The sequence below is a fragment of the Homo sapiens genome, chromosome 1, assembly GCF_000001405.40.
Source record: "Homo sapiens chromosome 1, GRCh38.p14 Primary Assembly".
Taxonomy (NCBI): Eukaryota; Metazoa; Chordata; class Mammalia; order Primates; family Hominidae; genus Homo; species Homo sapiens.
The window spans coordinates 70,811,686-70,832,470 of record NC_000001.11 but is presented as its reverse complement, the minus strand read 5'-3'; the positions used below and the strand labels follow the sequence as shown (position 1 = coordinate 70,832,470).

Sequence of the window (20,785 nt, the reverse complement as noted above, 5' to 3'; positions counted from 1 at the left end):
GCATGGGAAAGACCTGCCTCCATGATTCAACTACCTCCCACCAAGTCCCTCACACAACATGTGGGAATTCAAGATGAGATTTGGTTGAGGACACAGCCAAACCATATCAGTACTATTTTAATTCTATCATTGTTTCTTTAATTATTATATATTTTTGTGTTATTTTCTCAGTGGTTGCCTGGGGACTGCAATTAGCATCTTAATTTAAAACAACATCATTTGGATTAGTACCAACTTAATTGCAATAGTATATGAAAACTTTGGTCCAATATGCATCCATTTGTTTTTGTTCTCTGTGTTATTGTTATGCAAATTATATCTTTATATATAATATGCCTTTAAACATGTTTTATAATTATTGTGTTATACAGTTGTCTTTTTCACTACCATATTGTTTCCTTTATGAGTACTATTTCTTTCCTCATGTGGATTCAAGTTAATGTCTACTATCATTTTATTTCAGCCTAAAGGACTTCCCTTAGTATTTCTTGTAGGACAAGTCTGCTAACAACAACATATCTTAGTTTTCATTTCTCTGATAATGTTTTAATTTATTGAAGGATATTTGAATATAGAATTCTTGGGTGATAGTCTTTTTCCTTTAGCAGTTTAAATATATCATCCCACTGTCCTCTGATCATTATGGTTTCTGATGGAAATCAGTTTTAATCTTATTGAGGATCCCTTGTATGTGATATTTCCCTCTGCTGTTTTCAGGATTCTTTGTCTTTCAATAGTTTGATTATAACATGTCTAGAAACAGATCTAATTAAGGTTCTCACCTTTGAATTTTTAAGCTTCCTGGATCAATGTTTTTCACCCAATTGGATGAAGATTTCAGCCATTAATTTTTCAAATATTCTTTCTACCCCTTTCTCTCTCCTTCTTCTTCAGAAACTCCCTTTGAATGTATGTTGGTAAGCTTGATGGTGTGCACAGGTCTTTGTTAATTATTCTTGATTATCTTTTCCCTGTACCCCAGACTGGGCCATCTCAATTGATCTATCTTCAATTTTACGGTTTCCTTTTTTTTGGAGGGGAGGGTGCTATCTTAAATCTGTTTTTGAGCTTCTCTACTGAGTATTTTCTTTTAATTACTGTAGTTTAAAACTTTATAGATATATATATAATATGTAGTATTGTATATATAATTTCTGTCTCTTTATTGATATTCTCTATTTAGTGAGATATTCTTATATCATACTTTTCTTTTTTAAAAATACATGGCTTCTTTTAGTTCTTTGAGCATATTTACAATAGATTATTTGAAGTCTTTTTCTAGTAAGTCCAAATCTGGACTTATTCAAGAACAGTTTCTACTGACATTTTTTTTTCTATATATGAGCCATACTTTCTTTGTTGCATGTCTCTTTTTTTGGGTGTCAACTCAACATTTTAAATATTATTGAGTAACTTTTGAAATTATATTAACCTTCTTTCCAGTGTTTGTTGTTTTGGTTAAATGCTATTTTGGTTATGATTGCTGTGGTTGCTGTTTTTTCTCTTTGTTTATTTAGTAACTTTTCTTTTCTGATTATGTAAATTCTGAGTTTTTTGGCTGATTATACCACTGGACTTCAGTAAATTCTTCAGGACAGAGACTATGTTCTGTACCAACAATGCCTCAGATAGTTTCTGGCCATGTTAGAAGCTCAATACATTTTTTATGTAAAAGATGAACAAATAGTATCAATAACACTTTTCTCTGATGTGGATAATGAGGAGATGGAAATAATAGTATACAATTTGGGTATTGCCATTTATGTGGTACTTACTACTAATTGACACATACACTATAATGATTTTAAATACAAACACTGAGTTATGATTTAGTAATGTTTTAATTTTGAATTTTCTTATTCTGCTTTAATAAAATGTTGGACTATCATCATTTAATATTTGAAAGCTGAAGTTTTTATGCAGCTTTCGGTCACTAGCAGTTAAAATGCCCCTTGCAATTTTTCTCTATTTGCTTTTAAAATTAAACCAATTTAAATCGTATCTATGGAATACCTGTTACTCCCAAAAGGGCTTGAAAGTCTCAACATTTTCTGTTATTCGCACTTGGAGAAATGAATTTCTGTTGCATGTAGCTAGCATCGACTGCCACAAGAGAGGTAATGGCCATTGGATATACATTCACATCTCTGACAGACCTTCTAGGACAAGGAGTTACCAATTAGAGGTTTCTCAGGAAGCTTTTACCCCAACAGCTAATTGATAAAAGAGACCGTGGTTTCCCTAGTAATAGCTGTAGACTTTTGAAATTGAACCAGACTTACACCTCTGCAGCAGATATACCAGCTTATTAAATAGGTGATATAGTTTGAAGAATCAAAAACTTTTTTAAAAATCTGAATATTTACCTTTTTCAAGTGAAAATATTGAAAGTTTTTAACAGCCTCTGAGCAAACAAAAGTTATCATAAAATCTAGCATGTAATGTGTCCAATATATTGAAGTGTGTCATTTATTCTGGACTAAGTCAAGGTACACATAAATGTATACATATACCATGAGAAAGGCAGATAACTGTGGTACAGCAGAAACAATTGGATATAACTCATGAATGAGAAGTCAGAGTTATCAGCCTGGAGGGGAGCTAGAATAACTATGAATGCTTAGCTGTAAATAACACAAAGAAGACAATCATTTGAAGGAGTTTCAAATTTGCGAAGCTGATGTGAAGTGGAGAACAAATTATTTTTTCATTAATCCAGTCTGATACCTTGTGTGATATTGACAAGTGCTTCTGCATTCTATGTTAATTTAATAAAGTCATCTTGAAGAATCTGCACTATTTACAACACTCAAGATTCCCCTTAATCCTTAGATCCTCATAAATGTGGCTTTTGCATCCTCTGCTTATTTACGATTAGATGTAACATTACAAATTTAAAATTTATCTTTCTCCCTCAGAAAGAAATAGAAGTCACAGATATCAGCATTCCCTACACTTGCCAGCCACATGGGAGCTCTGGAGTAAAGAAGGGACAACACAACTCAGAAAGCAATTGCTTTGCTGAAAGAGCTGACTATAGGTTAAGGCACAGCTCAGCAATGAGAAAAAGAATAAAAATTATGTTTTTGTATTCACTGTTGTCTAGTCCTGAAAATTAAAACCCATTTCCATTCTTATTTTCTAAATAGTATTTCAAAGTTTTGATTCTCATAAAAAGGAAATATTATAAATCTTTAATTGTATTAATGAATAATGAATGATTATATTCCAATTAACACTAAATCATCAAGTTTTTCATGTCATTATTAGTGCCAACATACTTGAGATAATTACAAGTTTACCTTCAGACAATGTGGTTTTTATTGCATCACATAAATAATCTGGTCTCATCCCCACCAACTCCCTACAACAAAATAAATTCCTAAAAAGCTGAAATTCCCACTTATCAAAGTCTCTCTTTATGAAGCAAACATTGATGTACCTAGAAGTTTCTTGTTCAAATATCAATAGACTGAAAGCCGAGTATATCAAGACTTAGAAATCTTTAACACTTTAGTGTGGATAGCTCATCAGTGTCTTTTTTTTCTTCCAAGAAACTGGGAAGAGAAAATTCTGAGGTTCATAAGTGTCCTGAGCAGTTAGAGTTTCACCAAATAACTCACAATCAACTGTTAACTAGTAGCAGTTCAGAGGGAGTGAGACAGACTGGAAAGACATTCTTGATGAAGTAGAAGAGGGAGAGATAGGTCCATAGCTTCTCACACACACTAACCTCTAGGTTTTTACACCTTCTCCTCTACTGAAACTCTCTACTCCTCTGTCCCAACCCCACCTCTCTACCTGGCTAATTCCCTCACCTTTGGGTCTTAGTATAATTATCATTTCCTCAGGCAAGGGTTCTCTGGCTCCTAAGATTAGGATGCTCTCAAAGGGTACTTAAAATCTCTGGTTTTGCCTATATCAAACACCAATTAATTCTCTATCTAATTATGTTTTAATATCATCTTTCCAACTGCACTGTAAGAAACACCATGACAGAGCCACAGCTGTTTTACTCATGATTCTTTCCCAGCCCCTGAAACAAAGTAATAACCTAAAAATATCTATGGACTGACTGTTGGGTGCAATGCAAATGCATGCAGTAAGCTTGGCAGCAAGTTCTGCATGGCAAGACAGGGATAGAAATCTGGGTGGTTGTGTAAGCCTTGGAAGGTCATGATTAGGAATGGAAGGGAAAGAGAAGAGAAAAGGAGAGAATATTTTCAACTTCACAATTTGCCTAAACTTTGTTCATGCTATTTCTTATTGGCCCCCACTTTTTCTATTTCTTGCGGCCTCCTCTTTGTGTGTTTTGGTAGGAACAATGCTAAAATTATATAAAAACTTATGTAGTGCTCGCCAGGTGCCAAGCACTGTTCTAAATGCTGCACATATTAACTCATTTGGTCATAATAGTAGCCCTTATAGAAAAATAACTTTGTTATCTCCATTTGCAGTTGAGGAAACTGAAGCGTTGAGAGGGTAAGTAATTTCCCAAATTCACACAGATAGAATATTGTAGACCTAGGGTTGGAACTCAGCACTCTGACTTTAGAATGCATGCTCCTTTAAGACCATCCTGGCTAACACCGTGAAACCCCGTCTCTACTAAAAATGCAAAATATTAGCCAGGCATGGTGGAGGGCGCCTGTAGTCCTAGCTACTTGGGAGGCTGAGGCAGGAGAATGGCTTGAACCCGGGACGCGGAGCTTGCAGTGAGCCGAGATCGCGCCACTGCACTCCAGCCTGGGCGACAGAGCGAGACTCCGTCTCAAAAAAAAAAAAAAAAGAATGCATGCTCTTAAATGCTTTGCTAAGGTTATGTGGAAAGATAGTGTCGATGACATCCCTGCTTAATTAACATCTGTTTCCAAACTTCTTTTCCCTTGCCCATATCCTTTATAGGAAAAGTTAAATTTGATTCTTTCCCAGTCTCTTGCATCTAGTGGTGGCTGTTCATGCCAGTTCTGATACATATGGCACAAGTAGATGTCTTTTGAAGAGAGAATACTTCTGGGAAAGCAATTGCTTTTCTGAAAACATAATAGGATAAATGTGGGTGGTGCCATATTTTCCTTTGTTTCCTGTCTGGAATACAGATATGAAGCCTGGAGTTCTAGTAGCCATTTTGTATCCATGAAGGAAAACCAAAGAATCATAGCAGTCATAGCCGAAGCCTTGATAATATAGAGGCAATGAACCAATGTCAGCACCTAACGGTATAACTTGTCCTTATTACGTCATTAAAAATAAACTACAGTTTGCTTATTCACTCTTGGTAATGTTTTCTGTTAGTTGTAATTGAAGACAAGCTGAAATTATACAAGCAACAAAAAACATTATCAAGAGTGATAAACAAATTGAGATTTCTTTTTTAAATTAACTTCCTAACCAAAAGAATGGAGACCTAAGGGACTTCTGAAGCAATACCAAATTATAATGATAATTTGTAAAGGAAAATATTGTGAAGGGCTAGAATTATACCACACTATACTAGTCAGAATCTCAGCAGAGAATAGATCAAACATTCAGAAGGCTTAACGGAAGACAGTGTAAATAAGATCATTTATAGAGGGATTGACAGGGTCAAGGAAACTAACAATGGATGGTGAAACACCAAGAATCAAGCAATGAGCAGGAAGCTGGGCCTGATAAAGCTAACAAGGGAAAAGAGTTACCAGAGGCCAGAAACACCTGGATTTGTGAAAGCGGCTTTACCACAAGGGAGTTTTGTATGTAGAAATACTTAGTCTCCGGCAGACCACAGTAGTCAGGGCTGGAGAAGGGGGTAGGTACGTAACTACACCAATACTTATCCCTTCTGACTCCTGCAGGAGGCCTCCCATGAGTAAGCCCAATTAGAAGCCAGAGGACAGGAGACTCTAGGAGATCTAAGTGGTAGAGATTGGCCTGCTGGGCACTGAGAGGGCAGAGAAGGACTGAGAATAGATCTGGAGGTGGGAAAGTGGGTGGAAGGGATACAAATGGAGAATATAATCAAGCTTGCTCTGGCACAGACAGCAAATAGACTTCCTTCTTCTCTTTGTCTTCTTTTCTTTTACAGATATCCCAGAAATTAGAGTAGAATATTTGATAAAAATAATAAAGGTAATCAGTTCTACCTCCCCCCACCCACAAACTGTGTGACCTGGGGCAAGTTACTAGCCACTGTCTCAATGCATCCCAAGCATGCTCCATATCCTGGTGGCTTCAGTGTCCTAAAAAATGGCTCATCTGATACTCTAGTTATTTGCTTTCTTGATTGACTCAATGACCTTCATTCACTCCCACTCATGACTACACTTTGGACCTTGTTTTCACTGGGAACCGCTCCACTATTGAAAGTCTAACAAAAATAACCCACAATCGGCATACAATGTTGTGGTAGGTTGAATAAAGAACCCCCGTCCCCCAAAATGTTCACATCCTAAACCCTGGAACCTATATTACCTTATACAGCAAAAAAAAAAAAAAAAAAAAAAAGTTGAAGATATAATTAAGTTAAGGATGTTGAGATAGGGAAGTCATCGTGGATTATCCAGGTGGGACCAGTAACATAATGACAGGCATCCTTATAAGATAGCTACTACTGCAGAAGAGGAAACAGCAATGTGATGATGGAAGCACATTGGAGCGATGTAGACACCAGAAGTTAGAAGATAAAAGACAGATTCTCCCTGGATCCCCCAGAAGGAACTAGCCATGGAGACACCTTGATTTTAGCCCCGTAAACTCTTCAAACTTCTAGTCTCCCAAACTGTAAGAGAATAAATTTCTGTTGTTTTAACCCACTAAGTTTGTAGTAATTTGCTAAAGCGGCGCTAGGAACATGACACAAATGTCCTCTCTTTTAAAGCTCCCCATACTTTCAGTAACTCAGAAATGCTCACTGGTGCTTTCACTTTCCCCTAGCCATGTGCTGTTGTCCTTATTCCATCTCTATCTGCAGGCTCACCTGAACACGCCTCCCATCAACATCATCATTTCCCAAGCATCACCCCCCTCTCCTCACACCCACTCAGCAGACACCAACTCTGGGGTCAGTCCTTGTACCCGTCTTCTCCATTCCTACACCTGGAATTCCAAGAACTTCTGAAGAAAATGTCACCATCTCAGGAAAAATCTATGTTCTCCACCTAGTTTGGGATAGCTTTTTTCTCTAATTTTCGTAAACATCTATGTCAGTTCTTTACCACTCTTCTTTATCCCCTCCTCCAATCTCCTTCTATTATATCTCAGCAGGTAACCTCACCTATTTCAGAAAACTGAAGAAAACTGAAACCAGTCATGAAAAACAAGGATATTTTCTTTGGTATTTTCTTTCTAAATACCTATTTACATTCTTTTCCACCTTTACCTCTTTTTGTTCAAATTTCTGTTTCCTGCCTACGTGCTTAGAAGTTATATGAAAAGATATACGCATAAATGCAGAGATAAATATAAACAAAAGCAAAATGACAGCAGCAGACTATCCCCACCAACAGCAGTAGAGAAGGCAAAAGTCTGGCACATTTCTTAAAAACTGCACTAACTGTAGTAGGCTCTTTGGAGTCTAAGATTCTATTGCAACCTATTGGGAGAAGCAAATATTTAAATGAATACATTATAATACAATGTGCAAGTGTAATAGGTGATGTGGGTATGGATATGGGAGAAGCAGAGAGGAGGGAGTGAGCAACTCTGCTAGAATAGTTAGGAAAAGAAGCCCAACATTGGCCAGAGGCTTCATGGGGACTACTATGATGGAACAGGACCTTAAAGGTGGAGTGCCAAAGAAAGTATTCACCAAAGAGGGACCAGTACATCCAAGAGCTGGAGGCATTGAAATGCATAGTGTTTCCAGGGAAGAGTCAGAGGACTGGAATTGCTGGAACATTCCACTGGTGTTAGGAACTGGAAGGAAAGGTTCTGGAGACATAGTCGGGGCCAGGTTCTGCAGGCTTAGGCTGAGTTTCAATATTAATTTGAGGCTAATTTTCCCAAGTTGACCTGATCAAAAGAATCACATAAAACATTTGTTAAAAATATACATTTTCAGGACCTTTCTCTAAAGATCCTGACTTAAGTATAGGATTAAGTATTGCCCCCAGGAATCTGTATTGTAATGAAATGTAGGAACGGAAAGAAGGAAAAATTTTAGAAATAAATTTTAATTTTAATTTTGCCACCTATTAAATATAAGATCCTTAGAAAAACACATAACCTCCTTGAGTTTCACCTTTGAAAAGTGGAAAATGACCTCTACTTTGCAGAACTACTATGGGAAGAAGAAGGGATGTAATAAAGTGCCTGGCATACAGTAGAGAGGCCAAAGTAATAGCTATTACTGTTACTTTTGCCATTATTATGTCCCCTATTGTTCATGAGTTCAGGTCCTCTCTTTTTCTGGACTATTATAGTAACTTTCCAACAAGTCTTCTTACCTCCAGTGTCACCTGAACAAGCAGCAAGAGACTGTGCAGGCACAGGAAATTAAAGGCTGGGATGAAGCATAAGAGGTAGGGGCCAAAAGAAAGACTGGGCAAAATAAGTCAGACACAGAAAGACAAAAACTGTATGATCTCACTTGTATGTGGAATTTAAAACTCAGACTTATAGAAGCAGAGTGGTTGACAAGGATTTGAGGGGAAGAGAAAATGAGTTTTTGGTCAAAGGCTACAAATTTGCAGTTATAAATACAGTAAGTTCTGAGGATCTAATATATAACATGGTGACCATAGTTAATAATACTCTATTGTTTACTTGAAATTTGTTAAGAAGGCAGATTTTAAGTGTCTTCACCCTCCCTCCGAAAAAAAACACAAACAATGGTAACTATGGTTAGTGATAGATGTGTTAATTTGACTATGGTAATTAACACTCACACAGGGTTTACATATATCAAATCGTCATGTTGCACACTTTGAATATGTACAATTTTTATTTGTCAATTAATTATTTCAAGAAAGAAACAAACAAAAGACTAAGCTAAGCCATAGCTCTCATATCAGGCAACCGAACTCTGAAGAATTCACATGTGCTTCTAAGAACAGTGTCAGAGGAAGAGTGAAAACCAACAGACAGTATTTCAGATGTGGAGTTTTAAATTGTACAGTACTATGGTTTACAAACAACCAAGAGGTACAGAACCTTCCCAAGGTGGTCTTCAGGGGAAGAAAAGGAGATTTAATTTAGCACCACTGAAGGCAGAGATTCTGAAAAAAACCTAAAACCATTTTAGGTGTATGCCCCTTCAATTTCAGACTGTTCAAGAATTTGGTAAGAGGGCTGATGCTATCAAAGATGACATGCAGGTCTCTGGCCTGGGAAAATAGGTGAATAGCAGTGCTGTGACATGAGGTGGAAATATAGAAGCCCAGGTCTGGGCATAGAGATTTGTGAGTTGAATGGCTGAAAATGTTAGTGAAAGCATCACTGGGGATGTGATGACATGGGCAGAGTAGAATTAAGGGGATCCAAGAAGAAAATCGTAGGAAGTCTTACATTTAAGAGGCAGTCAAAAGAAAAGTAGTCAATGAAGGCACCAGAGAAGAGAGAGAATAATACACAAAGGGGAGACTATGGCTCGTGAACCCAATTTCACTTCCACAATTGTGCCAAGGGCCAGACTAGTTGAGCAAGCTCTGCTTTTCTCATTCCCGCCAGGAAGACAAAGGGTTTTGTGTTTCAAGAAAGTTCTGTGATGTGTACTAAAGGTAGGCAATATACACTTGTCATTTTCTTTGGCTTAGAACTCTAGATAGGTTCACTGGTCTGTAAAACAAATGCCCAAGAAAGAAAACACATAATGTATTGTTTCCTACATGATTTGGGTACATCAAGCACCAATTATAATACATTGCCTCTTCATACACTGCACTGACCCTAGAGTCATAATTCTATAAGCCAGGAAAAAGGGTAGCTAGAATTAAAAAAATGCATTTGTCATGAGTTCTAAAATGTTTTTCTCAATTTGAGAACGCCAGATTGTGAACTGGTAGACAGATTTAGTGCTGTCTTCTAGATCACATGTCCCTCTGTCCAACTCATAGGAGAATGTAAATAAAATATATTCAAGATATATTTATTGTGAACATAGGTCAGTTAGAGCTACAGAGAAGGAGAATATCTGGTGGCATGAAGACAAGTGTCCAGGTGCTGTGGGGGCCCTGGCATGTTAGCAAGTGCCCTGCAATGGAGGTTCTGTCATTGGTGATGGTAGGTACATAGGTATGTGGTGGTGACTGCACCATCTGATCATTCTTGTTTCAGCAAATTGGCTGTTAAGATCTCTCTCAATTCCTGCCAATCCTAATCCTCCATGCTTCCTAGATTTCTGTGAGCTATGAATGCTTTCTCTACCTAAGTTAACCAGATCTAATTATAGACTTTTTTTTTTGGTGCAACAAAGGGCCCAAACTAGTACAGCACTACTTCAGACTTAGTCTTCCTGGCAATTTGCCTTCAGGGAGCTAGTTCTATAGTGTTTTAGAATAACATATAAGACTTGTGGGATGGGAAGCTTAGTAAATATCTATGGTATCTGTTTGCCTAGCATTTCTTTCCCTGTGTTTCTACTAAGGTACACTCTTACTCTGGTTTTCATAAAGACACATGACCTAAACTTGATCAGACAAAATATTTTATCATTACTTTGTGTCATAGTGATATAAAATGATATACACTTACAGGGCGAGTGTAACCTAAGGCTTGACAATCAGACTTGAGTCTAGAATTGCTTTGTTGAGAGAGATAGGTAAGGGTAAGAAAGAGTGGTAGGAAGGAAGAGAAGATGTAGTAGATGGTGTTCATACCTCACCCACTTCCTTATAAATCTCTTTACCATTTTCATACACCTGCATGTCTTGGTTGGAGGATTGCCCTCAGGATGTCAGATTCACTTTGTACGTGCACATATTTAGCTGAAAGATCTTAGAAATTTATGATTCCCTGGAAGCAGCTCTTAACTAATGACTAATATTTGGTTATCAGGACAAGGCTGAGGGGAAATCTCCATTTTGGAGTCCTCCTGGGGAATTGAGCCAAGGGGATTCACTTGATTTCACACCTGTGCACCTTAGTTTGTCTGCCTTTCCTTCTCTGGCCCCATCTCTACTCCCTCACCAGATTTTCCCAGAAACACTTCCTAATAAATTCCTTTCAAGGTCTGCTTCTAAATAATTTAATCTAACATACCAGAGAAGCCAGAAGTTATCCCTACTTCCCCGTGGATAACAATGCTTGAGAAAATAAAGCCAACAAGCAGAGAGATAAATTGAATCTGCTTCCGATCACTCCAGCCTTTCCAACAGATGGAATGATAAATTCCCTTTTATACCTAAGCTAAATTGACTTTGATTTCTGTCACTTGCAATCAAAAGATATAATTCATCAGGGTGATGCAGAGTGACCCCTTTCCTTGCTTAATCCAACAACAAATCTCACAGATATGATGTACATGATATCATTGTGAAGGGAAATAAATCAGCAATGTTTTCTGAACAAAGTTATTAGGAGGCCACTGTCATATTTACTGTGCCTTAGATGCCATGTGCCCAATTCATGATTTGTGATTTTTGTACCTTTCATTAGAGCTTATTGTGCTGTTTCCAAACTTTTCCACAGCATAATCAAATTAAAAAATTCAGTCTATCTTGATATATTCCATATCACATATCTTGCCTATGTTAGGAAAGAAAAAAAGAATAAAGAGCAAAATCTTTCTGAAATGCAAATATGATCATGTCAGACCAAGTTTAAGGACCTTCAATACCTCATTCTTGTCCTCAAGATAAGGTTCACACTCCTTAAAATAGCCTCAAAATTCTTCATTATGTGGGGTCTGTTGCAATCTCTGCCCACAGTCTTCCCATCCACCCCACATTCTACTCACAATGAAAACTTTTCACTCCTTGAATGACATGCTCTTTCTTGGCCCTGAACCTTTGTCCTTCCTCTTTCTCCATATGCCCACACCCTCAGATTCTCAATTCACTCAGATTATCACATTTTAGGTTTCAGAACTTAACTAAGGTGTTACTTCTTCCAGGAAGCCCTCTTTGATGTCCTGCCTTCCCCCAGATTCAGATTAAGGTTTCCTCCTAGGTGCTCCCAGTATTCCCTTTACTTTCCTATAATTGTATATGTCACCTTTTTTTGTGAATAAATAGTGTTCCAATTAAGAATATATGGCCTTTGACAGAAGATTTTGTCTGTCTGTCGAATGCTATATTTCTGGAGTTTAGCACAGTGTCTGTCTCACAGAGTCACAATAGTATTGAATGAATGAATGAATGAATGAATGAGAGATGTTGAAAGAGAAGAAATAATATCTTTTTGAACACCAGCATAGCTGGTCATTAAATTCCAAGCAGGAAACATCTTCTTAGAGGAAATGTGCTGATGGGAAATAGATGACTACATCTATTCCTCCCCAGCATATGTCTCCCTGGGTATCATCTCTTTATGAGAGCTAAAGTTAATAACCATAAAATGTGTGCTCAGCAACAAGATAACTCCTGTGATTTAACAACAGGAACTACAGTCATTTAGCCATGATACCTGGCTTCCCTCCCAGAATAAGATACCCAAGTTCTCTTAAAAAAAAAAAGCAACTAAGTGTACCCACAGCTGAGAGACTTAGGTTGATCACTTAACCTCTTTATTGTTATATTAATTTATGGATTAATGTCCAGAGGCAGCTAGCTGTAAAGACTTCTCTTCAAAACAATTTCATTTTTAAACTTGTCTCATCTAGTAGCCAGACAGATTAAGGAATAAGGAGACTGATTTATGGAGCAAGGTGTAAGAATGGAAATCAGAAGTTTGTGAACTATGAAGAAAATTGTAATATATTGTTTCTTAGCAGGAGAAAGACTAGACAGCACCTGTGTATCAGATTGAAGAACAGCATTTATTGAGAGGAAAGTTACCATACACACAAATGGAAAACACACATAACATGATGACCTTCACCATAAGGTACAGACAGCCACATAAATAGAAGGCACTATCTATGTATGCTCTTTTTTATCTAGTGAAGTAAGACACTTACACTCTCTCAACAAGTTGATTTGTTTTAAGCTGTCAGGTTTGCCCTGACCAGGATCACTATGCTGGATGTTATGTACTCAAACAATAGGCTAACCAATCTCAGAAATGGAAGCTACGACTAGTACTGCCCTCCTCCGTGCAGTATCCTTGATTGTTTTGCTGGATATCAGTCATCATTTCTTAGGAGTATTAATCCCAAATCAGCATAACTGAGGAAAAACATCAAAATAAACTTTCTTCCAATCCTCAAAAACTTTTATTAGAAAAGAATAGAATGAGGAGAAAAAGTATTACAAGTCTGAGGATTGACAGTGGCACGAATCATAATGCATGCTTATGAATGACTGGGTAGAAGACCAGTTAGGTTGAACTGAAGAGCTTGTGTAATGGGGTATTGAGGGAAAAATGCTGTAGATTGAAAGACTTTTTTAAAAAGTGTGGTTATAGGGTAGAGGCTTGCCAAACTTGTGCTTTGGGAATAAGAAGCTGGAAATGTTGTACAGGATACATGGCAGGATGGAGAGAGTACAGGCAAGTCATATGTAGTATTCTATGCAAAAATCATGATGGTAAGAAAAAAAGATGTTAAGGGTAGCAGAGACATTTCAAGCAGATGCAACAAATGCTTACAGCATGGATGGTGAAATGTAGGGCTAAAATTTAAAGATGATTAATGAAAGCGGATGACTTGTCCTTTGAAGTGAAATTACTTATTTAACCCAAACACATATGAATACCTAATTCCGGAAACATTTGTTGTCATCATTCTATTTATAGTTCATGACTTGCAAGAATAAAATAAGGCATCTTGCACAAATAGCTTTCTTTTCCTGACAAATCTTATTGAATAAGAGATTGTCAGATATAAAGAGTTTAGTCATTACAGATGGAAATGAGAGCTGTACTGCTAAGACTCTGACTTATTTATCTCATTTATTGGCAGTTTCCCAAAAGGGAAGACAGAGATATATTAAGGTTTACTTATGTTACTTCCCTTTGTGCAATCTAGTTCACCCTCAGCCTGATTCAAGGGAGGCAGCATTATGGTCAGATTAATCATATATTTAGAAAAAAAATGTTCTCTAGGTTACTTAGCATTGAAAAAGTTATATATTTATATTAAGCTCTTGAACTCAGATCAGTTAAACCCATAAAGAATGAGCTTGAAATGCAAGAAACACATCCTGGAGTCATTCTGATGGGATTGCTAAACTTTTCATCCTGGGCATAGAGCAGATAAAAATGATGCTTCTCTGATTTAACAAAAGAGTAACAGGCATAAGACATCTGCTGATGAAAGGTGCAAGCATTTTGACTTAAGGGGGTCCCTTTATAATGTTTGAATGGAAACTGTGATACACCGTATCTTATCATCTTTGAAAGTGTTCAGCCTCCTCCAAAATGAAGTGATTATTCTGTTTCTAGGGAAAGATAATGCACTGGTTTAATAAAAGCTGAATGCCAAAGACATCAATAGTATAATGATGGTAAACTTGGCATCTCTGTCCTTTAGTTACTGAGAGAAAAAGTGTGTTGTACATATTTAGGACATAATAAATGCCAAACACTTTGAAAGGTACATTCACACACTTTTCTTATTTTAACCTCATAACAGACTTGAAAGTATTATCGTTATTATTTTTACAGATAAAGAAATGTTCCTCATATCACATAGTAAGGATCAGGCCTAGAATTTGAATACAGGTCTGTACTTTTCTAAGCTATCTTCTATTAACAAACAGCGATAAAGCATGATGCTTGAGAGTGTGGTCCCTAACAGCCACTTACGGTGAACACTGGGAAAGAATTCTCTTTGTTTGAGGTAAAAAGAGCCATGGCTCAGCAGAACACTGAGGCTCAGAGGAAAGCCTAGAGTTACTACTGTGATCTCCCTAGATCTGTGGGAAGTGAGAGGACTTGAGAAACATTCCCAGCTGACCCCACATTTCCACACATATCAGGAAACAGTACCTGACAGAATGTGGGTTAGAATTAAATACTAGCGATGATGGTGGAGTTGGAATTTCATTAACAAAACCAGATGGAGGTTACCCTCACACCTCTGAATTTTTGAAATTAAGTCCTTGATTATTTTTTTCTTTCCGTCCCTCTCTCCCTGTCCCTCCCACCCACCCATTTCCCTCCCTCCCTCCCTCAGTCCCTTCCTTCCTTCCCTCCCTCCCTTCCTCCTCCTTTTTTTTTTTTTTAATTATACTTTAAGTTTTAGGGTACATGTGCACATTGTGCAGGTTAGTTACATATGTATACATGTGCCATGCTGGTGCGCTGCACCCACTAACTCGTCATCTAGCATTAGGTATATCTCCCAATGCTATCCCTCCCCACTCCCCCCACCCCACAACAGTCCCCAGAGTGTGATGTTCCCCTTCCTGTGTCCATGTGTTCTCATTGTTCAATTCCCACCTACGAGTGAGAATATGCGGTGTTTGGTTTCTTGTTCTTGCGATAGTTTACTCAGAATGATGATTTCCAATTTCATCCATGTCCCTACAAAGGACATGAACTCTTCATTTTTTATGGCTGCATAGTATTCCATGTTGTATATGTGCCACATTTTCTTAATGCAGTCTATCATTGTTGGACATTTGGGTTGGTTCCAAGTCTTTGCTATCGTGAATAATGCCGCAATAAACATATGTGTGCATGTGTCTTTATAGCAGCATGATTTATAGTCCTTTGGGTATATACCCAGTAATGGGATGGCTGGGACAAATGGTATTTCTAGTTCTAGATCCCTGAGGAATCGCCACAATGACTTCCACAATGGTTGAACTAGTTTACAGTCCCACCAACAGTGTAAAAGTGTTCCTATTTCTCCACATCCTCTCCAGCACCCGTTGTTTCCTGACTTTTTAATGATTACTATTCTAACTGGTGTGAGATGGTATCTCATTGTGGTTTTGATTTGCATTTCTCTGATGGCCAGTGATGATGAGCATTTTTTCATGTGTTTTTTGGCTGCATAAATGTCTTATTTTGAGAAGTGTTTGTTCATGTCCTTTGCCCACTTTTTGATGGGGTTCTTTGTTTTTTTCTTGTAAATTTTTTTGATTTCATTGTAGATTTCAAAACCGCTCAACTACATGGAAACTGAACAACCTGCTCCTGAATGACTACTGGGTACATAACGAAATGAAGGCAGAAATAAAGATGTTCTTTGAAACCAACAAGAACAAAGACACAACATACCAGAATCTCTGGGACACATTCAAAGCAGTGTGTAGAGGGAAATTTATAGCCCTAAATGCCCACAAGAGAAAGCAGGAAAGATCCAAAATTGACACCCTAACATCACAATTAAAAGAACCAGAAAAGCAAGAGCAAACACATTCAAAAGCTAGCAGAAGGCAAGAAATAACTAAAATCAGAGCAGAACTGAAGGAAATAGAGACACAAAAAACCCTTCAAAAAATTAATGAATCCAGGAACTGGTTTTTTGAAAGGATCAACAAAATAGATAGACCACTAGCAAGACTAATAAAGAAAAAAAGAGAGAAGAATCAAATAGACACAATAAAAAATGATAAAGGGGATATCACCACCGATCCCACAGAAATACAAACTACCATCAGAGAATACTACAAACACCTCTATGCAAATAAACTAGAAAATCTAGAAGAAATGGAGAAATTCCTTGACAAATACACTCTCCCAAGACTAAACCAGGAAGAAGTTGAATCTCTGAATAGACTAATAACAGCATCTGAAATTGTGGCAATAATCAATAGCTTGCCAACCAAAAAGAGTCCAGGACCAGATGGATTCACAGCCGAATTCTACCAGAGGTACAAGGAGGAACTGGTACCATTCCTTCTGAAACTATTCCAATCAATAGAAAAAGAAGGAATCCTCCCTAACTCATTTTATGAGGCCAGCATCATTCTGATACCAAAGCTGGGCAGAGACAAAACCAAAAAAGAGAATTTTAGACCAATATCCTTGATGAACATTGATGCAAAAATCCCCAATAAAATACTGGCAAACTGAATCCAGAAGCACATCAAAAAGCTTATCCACTACGATCAAGTGGGCTTCATCCCTGAGATGCAAGGATGGTTCAATATACACAAATCAATAAATGTAATCCAGCATATAAACAGAACCAAAGACAAAAACCACATGGTTATCTCAATAGATGCAGAAAAGGCCTTTGACAAAATTCAACAACGCTTCATGTTAAAAACTCTCAATAAATTAGGTATTAATGGGATGCATCTCAAAATAATAAGAGCTATCTATGACAAACCCACAGCCAATATCATACTGAATGGGCAAAAGCTGGAAGCATTCCCTTTGAAAACTGGCACAAGACAGGGATGCCCTCTCTCACCACTCCTATTCAACATAGTGTTGGAAGTTCTGGCCAGGACAATTAGTCAGGAGAAGGAAATAAAGGGTATTCAATTAGGAAAAGAGGAAGTCAAATTGTCCCTGTTTGCAGACGACATCATTGTATATCTAGAAAACCCCATTGTCTCAGCCCAAAATCTCCTTAAGCTGATAAGCAACTTCAGCAAAGTCTCAGGATACAAAATCAATGTACAAAAATCACAAGCATTCTTATACACCAACAACATACAAACAGAGAGCCAAATCATGAGTGAACTCCCATTCACAATTGCTTCAAAGAGAATAAAATACCTAGGAATCCAACTTACAAGGGATGTGAAGGACCTCTTCAAGGAGAACTACAAACCACTGCTCAAAGAAATAAAGGAGGATACAAACAAATGGAAGAACATTCCATGCTCATGGGTAGGAAGAATCAATATCGTGAAAATGGCCATACTGCCCAAGGTAATTTATAGATTCAATGCCATCCCCATCAAGCTACCAATGCCTTTCTTCACAGAATTGGAAAAAACTACTTTAAAGTTCATATGGAACCAAAAAAGAGCCCGCATCGCCAAGTCAATCCTAAGCCAAAAGAACAAAGCTGGAGGCATCACACTACCTGACTTCAAACTATACTACAAGGCTACAGTAACCAAAACAGCATGGTACTATTACCAAAACAGAGATATAGATCAATGGAACAGAACAGAGCCCTCAGAAATAATGCCGCATATCTACAACTATCTGATCTTTGACAAACCTGAGAAAAACAAGCAATGGGGAAAGGATTCCCTATTTAATAAATGGTGCTGGGAAAACTGGCTAGCCATATGTAGAAAGCTGAAACTGGATTCATTCCTTACACCTTATACAAAAATCAATTCAAGATGGATTAAAGACTTAAACGTTAGACCTAAAACCATAAAAACCCTAGAAGAAAACCTAGGCATTACCATTCAGGACATAGGCATGGGCAAGGACTTCATGTCTAAAACACCAAAAGCAATGGCAACAAAAGACAAAATTGACAAATGGGATCTAATTAAACTAAAGAGCTTCTGCACAGCAAAAGAAACTACCAACAGAGTGAACAGGCAACCTACAAAATGGGAGAAAATTTTTGCAACCTACTCATCTGACAAAGGGCTAATATCCTCCTCCTTCTTCTTCTTCTTCTCCTTCTTCTTCTTCCTCTTCTTCTCTTCTTTTTTTTCTTTTTCTTCCTTTTCTTCTCCTCTCTCTCTCTCTCTCTTTCTTTTGCTGCTTGGTAACTCCTAAGAAATTTTAGCTCAGAAAACACTTATTTGATACATTTGTATGTGATCTTTACTTCCCTTCTGTTCTTTCTTTCCTCTCTTCCTTCCTGTAAGTTTTGCCAGTTTCAGAGGCAGAATCAAATAGAAAAAGACTACCCTTCATGAAGCCAGTCTTAAAAGAGAGACTGCTGGGACTCTGTTGAAGTGGAAGACTTTTTTAACCAAGATGACAAGGAAAGCATTGCTAAAGGTAGAATCAAAATCAAAGCAGTGTTTAAGAGGGCACATTCCCATGAACCTGGGAAGTTGATGTGGATGGTCAATTCTGAAAAGTGAGGTGAGGATGAAAATAGGAGGATGAAAAGCTCTGGGAATATCAAGAGTAAGACAATGAATGTTACAGGAATAAGTCAGGACAAGCTAAAGTTCTGGAAAGAAGAGAGTGCTGATGCTCTAATTTTTATGTGGCATTTGGTATGCAGTGTAGGTGATTATGCAAAGAAATTTTATAGGACTGGGTATTTATTTTGTATTTTGTCAAATATCTTGTGCATCAAAAAGCTTCTTATGGATGAATTCTACTTATAACATATTGAGCCTTTCTTTGTTGTTGTTTTGACTTTGAAAAATATTTGACCTACTCATAAAGAAAATATATTGACAGTTATTTTCCCCCTAGAGGGAGTATATGTGTAGGAACTAGCAAGAGTGAAGTCATAATTTTGGACCTAATCTTAGGAATACCATGATGTGTCATTTCTCTGACTTCTAAAATTGAAGTCAAAGAGAGATGCAGGATCATTTTCTATTCTTTGGCAAAAGGTATTATAGAAATGCAGAGTATCGGCCTATCATTTACACAGCCTTGAACTGTGCTGTCCTCAGAATACAAAACAGAAAATTGCAGTTGGAGGCTATTGCAACTGACTTCCTCTGATTCATGAATAATTTCCATTCAACTCAAATAGCAGAAATAACCCTCAATAAGAAAGAGGCACATGATAGCTCCACCTATCAATCCATGCAGGTGAACATAAAACTACCAACTTTTACATGGACAGATGTGATTTGTTATCTCCATCCTAGTGGAAAAATAAAATCAAATTTATACTTTACCGTGCTTAAGAAGACACCGACTCACGGTTAATCGCTGTGATTCATTCCTAAGCCATTGCTCTTCCTTCAAAGCTGAAGCATGACCCAGTCAGGTTCACTACTAATTCATGTAGCAGCCACATTTACAACTGAAATGCAAGGGTGGGGGTTCAAGGTGGGGTGAAGGTGGAGGGGAGGGGAGGTGAGGGGGAAGTAGCTCTAGGAAATATCAGATGATTATCTACTTATCTAGTTATCAGATGATTATCTGTTATCTAGTTAATAGAAAAGTGATAGGTAACCAAAGAGATTAAATGTAAGACACATATTTGTAATTATAGGTTACAATTTGTAATTGCTATTTGTTATTTGTAATTGTAGGTCAATCCAGAAATGGAGACAATTCCTGGCTGCATACATCCACATAATGTAATTTACTGCATAGATTATTAACTGCATAGTACCTAGTTCACTGCAATAAACTACAATAATTTACAATAAACATTTTTTTCCAAAAGCATCAAGTTATATTTTTGCTGTTGTTTAGATGTGTCTGGTATATAAATGGAACAACATTGCTCTAAGTAGAATTGTTTCTTTAAAAGTAAGATCCGGGAAACGTTCATAACTACTCTGCATCTCTGTTACAATAGTAAGGGTGCAGAACATGTCAGCTAAAGGGTGTCTAGTCCCCAGCATGATGCCTGGCAGTAAATCAAGGATGAGCCTTCACTGCTTCAAGTCCTTTCATCTAGAATGCTTCAGTGAGTTTTTATGGGGAAATCATTTCCCCCTCTTTCTTAAGATCATTTATCATTTAGTTGTATAAACTGATATTTACATCTGTCACAAATGCTCAACCCTATCCCAGAGCATATTAAGGGAAACTTGTGGAATATTTATGTGTTATGTGTATACAAAAAGAGGTTGTCTACAAAACCTCTATAAAAGACAAGTTGCCATTTCCCATACCTTGGGGGAATAGTAGAAGCACTTTTCTCTTCTCCCCTATGCTGAATTTACTGCCATTTTCTTGCCTTCTTTAT

The 20,785-nt window shown here is 37.4% G+C and overlaps 1 long non-coding RNA gene across 2 annotated transcripts in view; it reads right to left on the bottom strand.

Moving 5' to 3' along the window:
- LOC102724572 (uncharacterized) overlaps window positions 1–19,997 on the bottom strand; it is a 42,841-nt gene extending 22,844 nt beyond the window's left edge. Inside the window, exons 1-2 of one of the 2 annotated variants that reach the window (XR_001737665.2) lie at window positions 18,520–18,546; window positions 2,014–2,156 (exon numbers count right to left, since the gene is read on the bottom strand). This is a non-coding gene — a long non-coding RNA (uncharacterized LOC102724572). Of the gene's footprint in view, window positions 1–2,013; window positions 2,157–18,519; window positions 18,547–19,760 lie in introns of those variants that run through there. The other variant, XR_426711.4, reaches the window with a different exon arrangement.
- Window positions 19,998–20,785: the final 788 nt, after the last annotated feature.